General features: G+C 36.1%; 1 long non-coding RNA gene across 1 annotated transcript in view; it reads left to right on the top strand.

Moving 5' to 3' along the window:
- LOC105369881 (uncharacterized) overlaps positions 1 to 16,017 on the top strand; it is a 58,306-nt gene extending 42,289 nt beyond the window's left edge. The window contains exon 5 of the long non-coding RNA XR_945161.2: positions 15,339 to 16,017. This is a non-coding gene — a long non-coding RNA (uncharacterized LOC105369881). The remainder of the gene's footprint in view (positions 1 to 15,338) is intronic.
- Positions 16,018 to 17,103: the final 1,086 nt, after the last annotated feature.

Below are 17,103 nucleotides of genomic sequence, written 5' to 3'. Positions count from 1 at the left end.
GAAATAAATTTAACCAAGAAGATAAAAGTTCTACATTCTGAAAACTATAAAATATTGATGCAAGAAATTGAAGACATAAATAGGTATCCCACATTTGTGTATTGGAAGAAGTAATATTGTTAAATGTCCATACTACTCAAAACAATCTAAATGTTTACTACAATCCCTATCAAAATTTCAATGACAATTTTCTCAGAAATATAAAAAGCAATTCTAAAATTTGTGTGGAATCACAGAAGACCACAAAGAAGCCAAATCAGTCTTGAGCAAAAAGAACAAAGCTGTAAGACTCACACTACCTGATTTCAAAATATATTACAAAGTTATAATTATCAAAATAGCATGGTACTTGCATAAAAAAAGAAACACAAACAAATGGAACAGGATATAGAGCCCAAAATAAACCTACACATTACTATCAATTGATTTTTGACAAAGTCACCAAGAACATACAATGGGGAAAAAGTCTCTAATGGGGTTGGGAAAACTAGATATCCACATACAGTAGAATAAAATTAAACACTTATCTCATACTATCTATAAAAATCAACCAGAAACAAATACTTTTATAAGACCTGAAACTATAAAACTACTAAAAGAAAACATAGGAGAAAAGCTTCACAGTATTGGTGTGGGCAATAGTTTTTGGGATATGACCTGAAAAGCATAAGCAAAAAAAGTGAAAATAAACAAATACTATTGCATCAAACTAAAAATTTTCTACACAGCAAAGAAAACAGTAACTGAGTAAAGAGACAACCTATGCAATGGAAGGAAATATATACAAATCACACATCTGATAATGGGTAAATATCCAAAAATGTATAAAAGGCCTGAGGTTTCTCAGAAGCAAACACCAATGGCCAATAGGTATATGAAGAAATGCTTAACATCAGGAAAATGCAAATTAAAACCACAATGAGATATCACCTCATACCTGTTTGAATGGCTACCATCCAAAAGATGAAAGACAACAAGTTAGTGGGGATGTGGAGAAAGGGAACTCTGTATGCAGTTGATGGGAATGTAAATCAGTACAGCCATTATGAAAAACATTATGGAGATTCCTCAAAAAGAAAAATAAAAACTTAACGTATGTCCCAGCATCTTACACCTGAGTATATATCCAAAGCAATTGAAATCAGTATGTCAAAGAGTTTTCTGTACTCCCATGTTCACTGCAGCACTGTTCACAATAGCTATGATAGGAAATCAATTAAAGTGTCCAACAGATGATGGTATACATACACAATGGAATACTACTGAGACTTAAAAAAAGGAAATTCTGTCATTTGTGACAACGTGGGTGAGCCCAAAAGACATTATACTAAATAAAATAATAAATACTACAGAATCTTATATGTGGAATCTAAAAAAGTCAAACTAATAGAAGCAGATAGTAGAATAGTGGTTACCAGAAGCTGAGGTGGGTGGATGGTGATGGGGGACAGATGGGGAGATGTTGACCAAAAGGTATAAAATTTGTTAGAAATAACTCTTTGAGAGCCATTTCACAGCATAGTGACTATAGTTAAAAACAATGTCATGTATATTTCAAAATCATTAAAAGCAGATTTTAAATGTAACACAAAAATAAGCATGTGAGGTGATATGTTAATTAGCTTGATTTAATCATTCTATAATATATGCATATATCAAATATCATATATCCATAAATACATACAATTATAATTTGTCAATTAAACACACAAAAAATCATTTTCTGACAAGGAGTCTCACTTATCCCGGGTTGGGCCTTAGAAGTTGGGCATATGGGCTGGGTGCTGTGTGGCTCAAGCCTATAATCCCAGCACTTTGGGAGTCCATGACAGGCAGATCACGAGGTCAGAAGTTCGAGACCAGCCTGGCCAATATGGTGAAACCCTATCTCTATTTAAAAAAAAAAAAAAAAAAAAACTCAGCAGGGCGTGGTGGTGCACGCCTGTAGTCTCAGTTACACAGGAGGCTGAGGCAGGAGAATCACTTCAACCTAGGAGGCAGAGGTTGCAGTGAGCCGAGATTGCACCACTGCACTCAGCCTGGGTGACAGAATGGAGTGAGACTCCATCTCAAAACAAAAAAAAATAACTTGGGCATATGACTACAGGACAGCTCTCCAACTTTTTTAACAGAAACATCTGGTAATAAAGCCAATTGCAATGCATTATTATCCCAACAATAATCTTGTGAACAATAATCTAATGTGGTACAACCCTTAAGATTCATGTGAAATTCTCCATAAAACAGCCTAATAATTTTTTTGATTTATTGTCAATCATTGCTTTGTTCATGTTCTGCAGTACAGCTGTGCTCAACTATAAGTCCCTTTTCCTCTCCTTCTTCCTGTGCAATATTCCTGGGAGTTTGGTAGGCCATTTAAAGATAATCTGCCCATCACACATAAGTTTACAAAATGCATGTCATGTTAAAAACAATAGAAAAAATGACAACAAAACCAGCAAATGTTTTTGAAAGATGAGAATATCTGTGTCAATTATCAAAAGGCACTGTGGATCTTAATGTTCTCTTTCCACAGCCCATCAACAAATTGTACCCTTCCAACTCCACTGGTCTAGGTCTTCGGTATCCTGTAAATCAGCTGTCTCCAACCTTTTTGGCACCAAGGACCTGTTTCATGGAAGACAATTTTTCCACACACTTGGTGGGGGGGGTGGTTAGCGGGGAATGGATGAAACTGTTCCACCTCAGATTATCTAACATTAGATTCTCATAAGAGGCACACAACCTAGATCCCTTGCATGTGCAGTTCCCAATAGGGTTTGTACTCCTATGAAATCCAATGCTGCAGCTGACCTGACGGGAGATGGAGCTCAGGTGCTAATGCTCACTAGCTGCTGCTCACCTCCTGCTGTGTACCCCAGTTCCTAACAGGCGACGAACAGGTACTGGTCCACAGCCTCAGAATTGGGGACCCCTGCTATAAAGTAAGGTCCAAATTCAATTTCTCAATTTTTACCAAAAATCTGAGCAAAACCCTTGATCATCTCCTACAGCATTTTAGATACCAGTGCTTTCTTAGCTAACAGCTCTTTTTCACATATGACAACGTAGCTCCTTGACTCAAGAGCTGTTTTACTTCTAACATGTTTCTTGCAGGGTATCTTACACATAGGCGGTTTTCAATAAATATTTTTTTGAGTTGAATGTTGACACAGGTTTATAATTATATCCAGTACATTATATTTATAAAAGAAAACGGAAGAATAAGGAGATACCTTCTTACTCAGGCATACATTTTTTTTTCCTTTTTTTGTGAGACAGGGTCTCACTGTCACCCAGGCTGGAATGCAGTGGCATGATCTTGGCTCACTGCAACGTCTACCTTATGGGCACAAGCCATCCTCCCACTTCAGCCTCCTGAGTAGCTGAGACTACAGACGCATACCACCATGTCTGATTAATCTTCCTATTTTTTATAGAAATATTTTGTCATGTCTAGTGTTTAATATTACAATAAAGCAACTATAGTTAATAATTTATTGTATATTTCAAAACAGCTAAAAGGAAAGAGGTGGAATGTTCCTAACTCAAAGAAATGATAAATGTTTGAAATGATGGATACCCCATCTCAATTACCTGTATTTGATCATTATACATTGTATGCATATATCAAATATCACATGTATTCCAAAATTATGTACAATTATGGATGATAAAAAGTTTTTTTAATGATGTAAAAATTATATTTATAGAACATAAAAATTTTATTTTCATACCTGAATGATGAGACAAGATAAAATAAGGATTGATGAAAGTGCTGACAGTAGTCAACTAATTTAACATATTTGAAACTCAAAAAACATTACAATTGCACATCAATAAAACTGAAACACTCTTTAGGAAGATCTAAATAAACACATGAAACATGCACTTCAAAACTTATAAAATGCTTTTGACAAATCAAGTTGGCAATCTACCTGTTGCCAAAATACAGATGAAATTCTTTGTTGAAATACTGAAATGCAAAGAAGGTTAGTGACTGACACACACTTAAGGAATGGCAGAAAGAAAAATTCTAGGTTGCAGAAATGGAAAGAAGTGTTTTGGGTCTCTCTCATTGTCTACCCAATGGCTCAGAGACATAGAATCTATGAAGTTTGAACAACACTACAAATGATGGGATGTAGCTTTCTAACTCTTCAAATTTATCTCAGAGTTAAAAAATGGGGAATTAGGGAATGTGAACCATTAGAGAGGAAGCATAATTAACTAACTGGAAATATAGTGTTTTTAAAAGCTCATTTTTGTGATAATTCTACATTTGTGTAATTCCACTCTCTTTATGACCCCTTCACCATTCTACCTAAAGCCCACACATCCAAGAATGGATCTTAAAGAGTCTAAAGAACTGAAGTCTCTGTTAGCGTCAGAGATGTAAAAGAGATGAAAGAAGTAAAAGGAAAAGCAGACACCATCTTTAAAGGAGATATGAATTTTCCAATGACTAGAAATGAAAATATCCTCTTTTGACATCAAAATATATATTAAAGTAAGGCACGAGGAGGGAGTATTAAATGGGGAAGAGCCACACATTAAGTCTTATGATGTTAATTTTGTGTGTCAACATGACTGAGCTAAAGAGTGCCTATATATTTGGTTAAATGTTATTTCTGAGCGTGTCTATTAGGGTGTTTATCAAAAAGATGAACTTTTTTTTTCTTTCGAGCCATGTTTCGCTCTGCACTTAGGCTGGAGTGCAGTGGTGTGAGCTCAGCTCACTGCAACCTTCGCCTCCAGGGTTCAAGCAATTCTCCTGCCCCAGCCTCCTGAGTAGCTGGGATTACAGGCCTGTGTCACCATGCCTGGCTAATTTTTATATTTTTAGGAGAGATGGGGTTTCACCATGTTGGCCAGGCTGGTCTCGAACTCCTCACCTCAAGTGATCTGCCCACCTCAGCCTCCCAAAGCGCTGGGATTACAGGTGTGAGCCACTACACCTGGCCAAGAGAAATATTTGAATATGTAGACTGAGTAGACTGTTCTTCCCAATGTAGGTAGGCCACATTCAATCCTATAAAGACCTAAATATAATAAAAGATTGAGTAAGAAAGAATTCTTTGTTTTTGCCTGTCTTTAAACTGGGACATTGGTGTTCTCTTGCCATTGGACAGACTGGAATTATATACTCAGCTCTTCTGGGTTTGGACTTGTAAGCCTCTGTAATTGCATAAGCCAATCCCCTACAATAAATCTCTCTGTATGTGTTTCTCTCTCTCTCTCTCTCTCTCTCTCTCTCTCTCTCTGTGTCTCTCTGTGTCTGTGTGTGTGTGTGTGTCTGTGTGTGTGGGTGTGTGTGCACGTGTGTGCATATACATATAGAGTAGTCCTGCATATCCATGAGAGATTTGTTCAAGGGTACCTTGCGGATGCCAAAATCCACAGATGCTCAAGTTGCTCATACAAAATTGATTAGTATTTGCAAATAACCTATGCATATCCCCCGTATACTTCTAAAAATCTCTAGATTACTTACTATGTCTAATAGAATGTAAATGCTATGGAAACAGTTGCTATGCTGTACTTCATATTCTTTTTTATTTTTTTAAATATTTTCTATCTGCAGTTGAATTCATGGATGTGGAACCTGCATATACAAAGGGCTGACTATATTATAACACAATTCCTTATATAAATCCTTTATAATAAATCTTTATATCTATATCTGTCTATCTGTTTATCCTTTCATATCTGTTTCTTGGGACAACCCTGAAGGTAATACAGATTTTGGTACCAAGAATGGTTCTAAACAGACCAAAACTTAGGGATCAGTTTTCTGAATTGATTCTTGGGTTTCTGGTTTTCTGGAATTGACTCTCTAATCTGATTAGATTTAAAGATGCTAATGACTTTCCAGTTGTAAAGAAAGCACCAATATTCCAATATCTTTATAATAGAGATATGTAAAATGCTCCATTGGAAACCTCCTAATCAATTGCTTGCAAGAAGCAGGGAGATGAGCGTGTATGTAATACTTTCACATATTTTTGGAAATATAATTCAATATAACTAAGTAGGTAGAATAGTTGCTCCTATTATCACTGGACAAAGTAGTGAAAGAAAAGAATGAGCTCAGGGATTTGGTTTCCCAGCTCAAGGGCTGCATAATTGCCCTGAAAACTTCCATATGTACCTTGAAGGAGATCCCTATCTCTTCCAGCCCCAGAACTGAGATTACTGAAAATTAAACCCCAAATCCTATCCTGTTGCTGCTGATCACAGTGCAAATTGAACTTTTAGTTTCATGGGGCATCCATTTTTTAAATGAGAGTGTTGTTTGGGAGAGAATGGGATCCTATAAGTTGAAATGGGGCTTGCGGAAAGACCTTGATGCAACTGGGGTCACTGAGCCCAAACATTCTAATGAGTCTTCTTTGCCAGTGGAAGAGGCCCCCTATCTCCAGTAGACATGGTCTCCCCACCCCGAGTGGTAGTTGCCTCTCCACTCCCATGTGAGAAACCTGCATTGCCTGAGGAAAGCATAATTGCCTCTTTTAAGACATGGCCATGCAAGACAATGTACTTTCTCCTCAGGGCCTACCTCCAACACCTCTTTGGGCTTCTATACCTATAACTACATACAAGTCCAAGCAGGACATAGAAGGTAAGGTACAAAGTGGGACCCATGATGTGGTGTGCTGTACTCTAAAAGAAATGTTTTAATTTTCCAATTTATACAGACGGAAGTTGGGGGAACATGTACAGAGATGAATATTTAAAACATGGAATAATGGTAGAAGTATCATAATGTTGCATCAGGCTGAATTTACTACTATGGTCTAAGAGTAGATTCTCCATCTAATGTTTCAGCTCAGGGAGTTTGGAAGGGTTCTCACTGTTTAGTTTTGGCTGAAACATGAACCCAAAGTGAGTGAATTACAAATACATGACCTGCCTTTAAAAAAAAAATATATATATATGGATTCATATATATATATAGGGATTCATATGTATAGGGATTCATATATATATATGGATCCATATATATATATGGATTCAAAGGCTTAGGGAGATTGGAATGTTAGAGATAATTTGTAGTTAAACTTTACCTACACTGGGAGGTCCAGAAGACATACCTTTTACCATTCCTATGAGGAATAAATATGTGAGAGAAGGGCTGGCATCCTCAAAGAGCTCCATGATCATGTTTATCCATAGGTGGACTTTACAGTGGGGCTACAGTCACTGAATTGGAAAACCTAAATGCAATAGGAATAATTGGATTATGTTGTGGCAGAGGCCAAGTGGCAACAGACAACTGCCAAAGGCAAGGTGCGGTGGTTGTCATAATGGTCAGCAGATTCAATGCAGAAATTAGAATAGTCTGACTTGTACAGATTTATGGCATTGGTTAGGTGATCATGGTGTTCCTAGAAGTAAAATAGATAGAAAGCCTACTACTTGAAAGCCTTCTTACTTGATCTGTATAAGCAGAAAGGCTCTAGCTCAGGTGAACAAAGGTGTAATTTGATTCATGAAAACAGAGTCATTACCCTTCAATCAGTTTCCAGATTTGAACGAGTTTACAGTACCAGAAGTCCCTAAAAAGAAGAGGCTGTGTTACCTTAAGGAAGGACTCAGTACACTGTGGAAGGATAAATGTTTATGTTCTTAATCTTTCTCTGAAACTACTCCAAAGGGACCTATAGTCTTCTACCAGGTTAACTGTGCATGTAGGAAATAAAAATAATTGGACCTTTGGAGAACTACTGAACATAAACACCAGTTATGGGAGACCTAACACATCACTATAGTTTACCAGTCAGAATAGGAGCTTGTAGAGGTAAGTGATCAATGGCGCTTTAGCTCAGCTCTGTCTTCTCACCGTGGATCCAGTTGTTCCCTGAACCCATCCTATAGTTATTTCTACAGTTCTGGATGTACAGTTGAAATAGACATACTCAGCAGCTAGTAAAATCCCAATATTGGTTCCCTGACCTTTGGGTCAAGGACTAATATGGGTGAAAGTCTAAGTGGAAGCCGCTAGAACTGTCTCCACATAAGAAAATAGTAAACCAAGAACAATATCACATTTCTGGAGGGATTACAGAGATTAGTACCATAATCGAGGACTTGAAAGATGCAGGGGTGGTGATTCCCACCACAACCCTATTCAGTTCACCTATTTGACCTGTGCAGAAGAGAGAGAAGGATCTGGGAGAATGACAGTGGATTATCTTAAGTTAACCAGGTGGTAACTCCAATTGCAGCTGCTTTATCAGATGTGACTTCATTGCTTAACCAAACTAACATGTCTCCTTTTACCTGGTATCCAGTTATTAACCTGAAAATGCTTTGTTTCTTGATACTTGTGAGTGAAGACCACCAGAACAGTTTGCTTTCCAGCAGAGAGTTTGCTCCAGCGATATGTCATACATTATTTTACAGGGATCTTGATCACCTTTCTCTTCCACAAGCTATCATACTGATGTATTATATTGATGCCATTATGCTGATTGGACCTAGTGAGCTAGAATTAGCAACTACCATAGGCTTATTAGGAAGACATTTGCCTGTCAGAAGGTGAGAAATAAATTTAGCAAAATTCCATGAGCCTTCTACCACGATACAATTTCTAAGAATCCAGTGGAGGATACAAAGTCTAAGAGCCTAGTGGACCTCTTTGGGCTTTGGAGGAAAGATATTCCTTATTTTGGTGCATTACTCCAGCCCATTTAATGAATGATCCCCAAATATGCTAGGTTTTAGTGGGGCTTAGAACAAGGGACAGTTTTGCAACAGGCCAAGGTTGCTGTGCAAGCTGGTCTGCTGCTTGGGCCATCTAATACAGCCAATCCAATGGCACTTGAAGCGTTTATGGTAGACAGAAATACTGATTGGAGCCTTTGGAAGGCCCTTATAGGTGAATAACAACATAAGTTCTCAGGTTTTTAGATTAAGGTCCTACCGTCTTACCCACACGAGTCCCCTTTTAAGAAACACCTCTTAGCTCACCACTGGGTCTTAGGAGGGACTAAGTGGTTAACCATTGACCACCAAGTTACCATGAAATCTGAGCTGCCCATCATGAAGGGGATATGATCTGACCAATCAAGCCATAAAGTTGAGCATGCATTGCAACACCCTGTCATCAAATGGAAGTGGTATAGACATGATAGGACCAGAGCAACCCTGAATGTACAAGTAAGTTACATGAAGAAGTGGCCCAAATGCCTATGGTTCCTGCTTCTGCTACCCTGCCTTATTTCTGTCAGCCTACATCCATGACCTAATGAGGCATTTCCTATGATCAGTTGACAGAGAAAGAGAAAGCTTGGGCCTTGTTTTCAGATGGTTCTGCAGGATATGCAGGCACCACCTCAAATTGGACAGCTATATCTGTATAGCCCCTTTGTGGGACATCCATGAAGGACAGTGGTGAAGAGAAATTCTCCCAGTTGGCAGAGCTTCAAGCACTGAACCTGGTTGTCCACTTTGCTTGGAAGGAGAAATGGCCAGACATGCGATTGGATTACAATTCATGGACTGTGGCCAATGGTTTGGCTAGATGGTCAGGAACTTGGAAATAATATGATTGGAAAACTGGTAGAAATAAAATTTTGGGAAGAGATATGTGGATAGATATGTCTGAACAGGCAAAAGAACATGAATATGTTTGTGTCCTATGTGAATGCTCACAAAATTAACATCAACAGAGGAGAATTTTAATATCCAGATGGATAGGATGACCCATTCTGTAGATATCAGTCACCCTATTTTTCCATACCACCCCCTATCATTGCCCAATGGGCTCATGAACAGAGTGGCCAAGGTGGTAGTGATGCAAGTTATGCATGGGTTGAGCAACATGTACTTCCACTCATCAAGGCTGACATGGCTATTACCACAGCTGGCCAGAAGCAGAGATCAACACTGAGTTCCTGATGTAGCATCATTTCCCAGGGTGATCTGCCAGCTACCTGATGACAGGTTGAGCACATTGGACTGCTTCCACTAAGGAAAGAGCAGCATTTTGTTCTTACCAGAACAGACACATGTTTCTGTCAAAACTGCAACCCATGTAATTACAGAATCCTATATTCACCTTCATGATATTCCACACAGCATTGGTTCTGATTTAAAAAAATAAACTCACTTCAAAGAAAAAATCATGTAGCAATGGGTCCATTTTCATAAAATTCACTAGTCTTATCTTATTTCCCACTATTCTAAAGCAGTCAATTTGCTAGAATGGTGGAATTGCCTTTTGAAGTCTCAGTTATATCACCGAAGGGATAGTACTTTGCAGGCATGGTTCATTTATTTCACATCATACTATTTAAGTTATGGAATATGAAGGAGATGAGCAAATATAACTACTTTGCCTCTCTATCTGGGGAAAGGGTTTGTGAATTTGGGTTGTACACTGAATAGTTGTATCATGTTAGGCAGAATTATGACCTTATTATTGCCTTTGTTTAGAGATTGAGTATGGCTTAAGGAAATATGTGTGAGTGCCAAGTTGACATAGGGTAGACTTGGATGGCTAATTTTATATATCAACTTGAATGAGCCACTGGATACTTGTATATCTGGTTAACCATTATTTCTGGATATGTCTGTGAGAGTATTTCTGGATAGAATTAATATTTGAATCTATGGACTGAGTAAAGCAGATTGCCCTCCCTAATATGGGTGTGCCTCATTTAATCCATTTAAGGCCTTAATAAAAAAAAAAAGCTAGTTAAAAAAATTTATACCTAATGCTTGTGGGGCTTAAAATCTAGATGACGGGCTGAAAGGTGCAGCAAACCACCCTGGCACATGTATACCTGTGTAGCAAACCTGCACATTCAGCACATGTATCCCAGAACTTAAAGTAAAATTAAAACAAAAAACATCATTTCTCTCTGCCTGGATTTGAGCTGAACATTGATCTTTTCTGGCCTTTGGACTCAGACAGAAGTATATCGTTGACTCTCCTGGGCCTGAAGTTCTTAACGTTTATAATAGCATAAGCCAATTCCTTCTAATAAATCTTTCTCTCTCACTCTCTTTCTTCATAAATATATAATATATAAATATAAATAATATGTACATATATAATATATAGAGGTTTATAAATAATATATAAAAAGAGATTTATATATAATATAGAATACATTATTCCTGTATAATGCATATATTTATTGGTTTTGTTTCTCTGAGTTGTTTCTGTTTCCCTAACTAATACAAGACTCAGCCTTTTGGGGAGTCTGTATCATCTATTGTCAACTCTCCAAAAATATCACCAAATAACCTGCTAATAATCTGTCACTGAATGAAAACCAAGCTTATCACCTACTGGCAGTAAGGAGACTTTACCTTGCCACCTCAATATATTTTCTTGATAGTGCTTCTGAAGTGTGTAAAGGTCAAAGCCACATATTCATAGGGTTTTGGGATCTGGTATTAGGCCGAAGTTGATTGATAGAGAGATTTGGTTAGGATTGGCTGGAGTCCATGATAGAGATATTTAGGATTGGTGGACACAACGAAGTGAGCATTTGATGAGTAAATTATTTTGATAAGCAAGTGGTTTGCCCACTCGAGTGATTTATACCTGGAGAAGAGGACTATTTACCATAAAAAGATTCTATTGTCCTAAGAGAGTTATAGTAGAGAAATATATTGTTCAGAAAAATGAATTTTTGAAAAGTTTCTGAAATAAATAATAAAGTTTGCCACTACTTGTCTTCCTGACTTAGAATTCCTTTGAATGGTAAGATGGTAAGGTCTTGTTAATTACAACTGCTGAGTTCTTGATCCAGTTAAGCTGTGTGGATGAAGGCAAGCTGTTTTCAATGTGGATTAGAAGATTCCACTTAAAGTTAAGGCCTATGTTAGACATTATTTTCTATTCTGTCTCTGTGTTTAAACATACATCGATAAAAAGTTTTTTTTAAAATAAAACAATAAACTATCCAAGTTTCCCCCTTTACTAACAATAGCCTAGAAGCATATTTTTATCAATAATTTAAAATTTAGTACCTTAAAACATACCATAATGAGAATTAAAGACAGATTTCAAACTAGGATAAAAGTATTTTCACTTTTAAGGGAAGAGATAATGAAAATTTAAAATACACAACTATTTCAATTACTAGGAGAATAAGATGAACTAAAACAGAAAAGTTGATATAAAGAAAAGACCAAGAGCAAAAACTTACATAAGGCCAATATAAGCCTGAGTAAAATTTAACCTAACTAGTAATACAAAATATATACTAAAATGTTGGTGAAATGCTTTTGTTGAAAAATTAGCAAAGATTCAAATGTTAAGAATGTTCAGTGATATTCAGAATATTTTGAATTCAGACATTCTTCCATTATGTGATTATATTTTGCCACTACTATTTCAGAGTGCAATTTGACAATTTGTATTGAATACATTAAGCACAGGTTCTCTTTCTAAAAATGCTCCCCTACAAAACAATCAGATACATGTATCAGATTCATGTTCAGGTTAGGTCATTATAAAATTGTTTATATATAAGTAGAGTTCCAACTGTCACACCAGCAGAATGAAGGAGAAAGGACTAGGAACATACAGCAGCTGTCATTTATGGACAGTTCTAGGAAGCTTTGTCTTATGTATTACTGTGCAGTCACACTACATGAGAGACTGAGAAATGTTTTTATTCTAGGCAGCCATGTGTCCAGCTAAATATCAGCAATTTTGTGATAATGTGAAAAGGAGAGTTTCTTTTACATTGTTTCACTGGGCAAATTAACTCCAATTTGTCTTAGCCTCTCCAATCTACTCTTGTCTCTCCTTAGAATAACTAAAGGGCTCATTAACATTTCTTCCAAACAAAAAAAGTGGTCTTTTTCTTTAAAAATAACCCACTACTTTCTTAGAATTTAAATGGATTTAGCCAACTTATTAAAATACTTATTGCCTCATTTTAAAGATAAATGATTCAAAATTGCAGTTCTAGAATATTCTGTTTTTATTTTAAATTATAGACATGTGGATATGTGAATGAATTCAGGGAATAAAGCAAAATGCTAACATTTATTTCTTGAATAGTAGGATATAAGATTATTTTAAGTTGTGCTTGTATTTAAAGCATTTTATAAATGTTTTAAAAATAAAAATCTATAAATCAGAAGTGAAATATCAATTGCTGTATATAGTGTCAAGAAATAAATTCCATTAATTCAATCATTCATTCATTTATCCTATATATTTACATATTTTATATTCTATGTACTGAACACCATAAACTAATAATTCATGATCCTATCATCAAGATGTATACCTCCAATTACAGTAGAATGACTTAGACATAATGGTATATACATGAATAAGCTGGTATTGTAACACTAAGCGGGTGTACTCCACCCAGATTGTAGAGGCAAGAAAAATATTTGTGCTGAGTTTAAGTTTTAAAAAGGGCCTATGTGAAGGTATGAAATGTATAGGTATAAAAAGTTATCCTATTGCAAGAATTGTGTACATATTGAATGTAACTAGTATATATACATGTAAGTGTGGTGTGTATGCATGTATGTGTATGTGTCAGAGAAATAGTTGGAATAAGGCTAGATACATTTGCAGGGGCCCTTACCATGATGGATCTTCCCATGAAGTTTGACTTTGTTGTGAAGGATTTGTGTGGAGACTGAAAGATTGCAAGCAGGTAAGTGTTATCATAGGATTTGCATTTTAGACAGTGGCATATCAAATATCCCTTCAACAAATGGTCCAGCTCTCCAGGTACCATTAAAAATATACAGAAAAAACACAAACTCAAGCTAATGACAATCTAAAGAGCTTCTGGAGAGCAAAAGAAACTACCAATAGAGTAAACAGACAACCTGCAGAATGGGAGAAAATTTTTGAAAACTATGCATCTGACAAAGGTCTAATATCCAGTATCTATAAGGAACTTAAACAAATTTACAAGTAAAAAGCCATTAAAAAGCGGGCAAAGAACATGAGCAGACGCTTCTCAAAAGAAGACATACATGCGGTCAAGAATCATGAAAAAGCTCAACATCACTGATAATTGGACAAATGCAAATCAAAACCACAATGAGATACCATCTCATATCAGTCAGAATGGTTATTTTTAAAAAGTCAATAAAATAACAGATGCTGGCGAGGTTGTGGAGAAAAAGAAGCACTTATACACCATTGGTGGGAGTGTAAATTAGTTCAACCATTGTGGAAGAGTGTGGCGATTCCTCAAAGACCTAAAGACAGAAGTACCATTCAACCCAGCAATCCCATTATTGTGTATACACCCAAAGGAATATAAATCATTCTATTATAAAAACCACATGCACATGAATGTTCATCACAGCACCATTCACAAAAGCAAAGCCATGGAATCAGCCTAAATGCCCGTCAATGATAAACTGGATAAAGAAAATGTGGTACATATACACCATGGAATTTTATGCAGCCATAAAAATAATGAGATCATGGCCTTTGCAGGGACCTGGATGAAGCTGAAGGCCCTTATCTTTAGCAAACTAATGCAAGAGTAGAAAACCAAATACTGCATGTTCTCACTTATAAGTGGGAGCTAAAAGATGAGAACATATGGACACATAGGTGAGAACAACACATACTGGAGCCTATTGGAGGGTAAAATGTGGGAGGAGGGAGAGGACCAGGAAAAATAACTAATGGGTACTAAGCTTAATAGCTGGTGATGAAATAATCCTTGTGACAAACCCCCATGACACACGTTTACCTCTGTAACAAACCTGTACATCCTGCACATGTACCTCTGAACTTAAAACCTTTACAATGTCAACATAGTTCCATATCTTTAGTCTATGAAATGACAGTAGGTGTTGCTTTACTTGAATGGCCAGAATATGAACTGAATGTCCATTTCAGTTGTTTCTGTTTTTGTAATGCATTTAAGCAAAGTTCAATTAGCCTACACACAGATTTTCTACTTCTAGTTCAAACTGTTGTATAACTTATCTTTCAAACCCTGCATATTACAATTCAGCACAGCTTATCTCTTAAGTATAGTATGCATGTACAGTGTACGCATCACCATAACCACGGCTTATCTCTTAAGCCCAGCATTGTACATGCATTCATTTTGCTATCCTGCATTTGTTCTTTCTTCCTCAGACCTTTTCAGTCCCTAAGAAAATGGTATCATTCTGGGTAGGACCTAAGATCAGTGATGAAATAACAGAATGCAGGATGGCAAGACTCTATATGGAGAGGGAAATTTTACAGAATCTAAACCTGGGGATACTAAATTAGATCAATTGAGTATAGGCAATATCAGAGGGTAATAAAATAGTTTAAGAATACATAGATGTTTTTTGTTTGTTGGTTAGTTTTTGCTTTTCTTGTAATTCAGGTTAAAGATGTGACATTTCCTAACAGCACCAAGGAAGGAGCACCAGAGAACATGAAAAGGCACTCAAGCTAAGTGGTCTGTTGAACTTTGCATATCTTCCTCTTTGTCAATGAAAGAAGGCAAAACCAAACCTAAATGAAACAAAACAAAGAACTACTTACAAGGAGTTTTAAAATATCTCAATCTCTGCGTTACTTATGTAACCCACAGAGTATATAGATGACCACTTAGAGGTATTCCTACTATTAACAAAGGTATTAGTATCTGTGTTTTACCCATGAAAAATTAGAAACTTAGAAAAATATCTTGTTCAGTTTCACACTGGTACAATATGAGGGTATGAAAGTTGTAACTGACTCTAAAGCTTGAGCTATTTTCTTATAGATATAATTTAAATAATGTCTATCAACTTTCTTGAAATATTCTCATTGTTACCTAAGAATTTAAAATATTGATATGCAATTGATCTAAGAGAGGTTAAACATGAATTGGAAATTCCTTCTCCGATATCAGGTTTGATTTTTCACAAATATCAATGTTTATGAAAGTATTCCTAAAATTTCAGGTAAAACCACCCAATAATATGACTGTGAAAAATTATGCTTCTTCCTCTATGAGCTACTACATTCTTAAATTATCTGAGCATTCTATTAAAACTTAAAAAAATGCTTAACTTGAGTCTGCATGAATCTGAATTCCCTGCATATTTAATTTTAAAGAAAATAGTTTATTTTTTTGTTAGACCAATACTTTACAAACTTCCCCAACCAATAAGAAAGAACAAAGAGGAGAACATGAATATCCCTGGGTATTTGTGAGTAAATCCCCAAGAGACTAACCATAAATGTGAAATTTCTTTATAATTGTATGTCTTCTTCTAAAATATTCATGTGGATTGTGCATTCTATTCTATCTTCTTATTTTAATAAAATCTGTTTTAAATTATTTACTTCCTGGAAACAAATCTCCCTGTTGTGTTGGTTTATGAACATGGTTCTATTGCCTTCAGTCTATTGTCGGAAATAAAAACAGTCCTGCAGTTGTTGATTGAGTGTACTATGCCTTTAAGAAGTCATGGCACTCATGCAACAGCCATGTAGTTGTTGATTGAGAGTACTGTGTCTTAAAAAAAGAACTTTTGCTAAATAAACTGACTCTGTGAGCAGCCCTTCATCATTTAAGTGAGAAATGTATTGAATTAAGTTACCTTGATATTGCCTTTTGTTATATTTTTATTTCTTTGATACAAAAGAGTAACAATTTAATTCGAAATTTGAAATCCCTGAATTGCCTATCCTCTCCAGTAAGTCACTACACACCTGTATAGGGGAGCAGCCTTTCAGAATATTTTTCCTGAACATGAGAATATAAAGCAGGAGGTGGTCATATTTGTTTGAGTAGCACCTCCTGATACCATTAATCTGAGCAGAAGAGTATGGGTCCATACTAGAACAGGATATGACTAGGAAAATGAAGAAGAAATGAAAGCAAAGTATTCAACAGAAACATCTATGCTTTTTGCCATTAGCTGAATGTGACATAAGAGTATAGAATGATTTGACACGATTCCAAATCTAAATGTAACCAAGGAACTTTAAATATTATTAATGAGCATGGCAAAGTTTAGGGTCAGGGGGAACAAATTTAAAAACTATGAGCATTCTCATGACATGAGTTAAAATGCAAAGACGTAAGTTAAAACATAACTAATGACATTAATAAAGTGATTGAAGCTCTATGTCACTTAAAGATAAGAAGGTATGAT

The sequence above is a fragment of the Homo sapiens genome, chromosome 12 (genome assembly GCF_000001405.40).
Source record: "Homo sapiens chromosome 12, GRCh38.p14 Primary Assembly".
Classification (NCBI taxonomy): Eukaryota; Metazoa; Chordata; class Mammalia; order Primates; family Hominidae; genus Homo; species Homo sapiens.
Note: the sequence above shows the minus strand (reverse complement) of the source record. Positions and strands in the feature narration are given on the sequence as shown.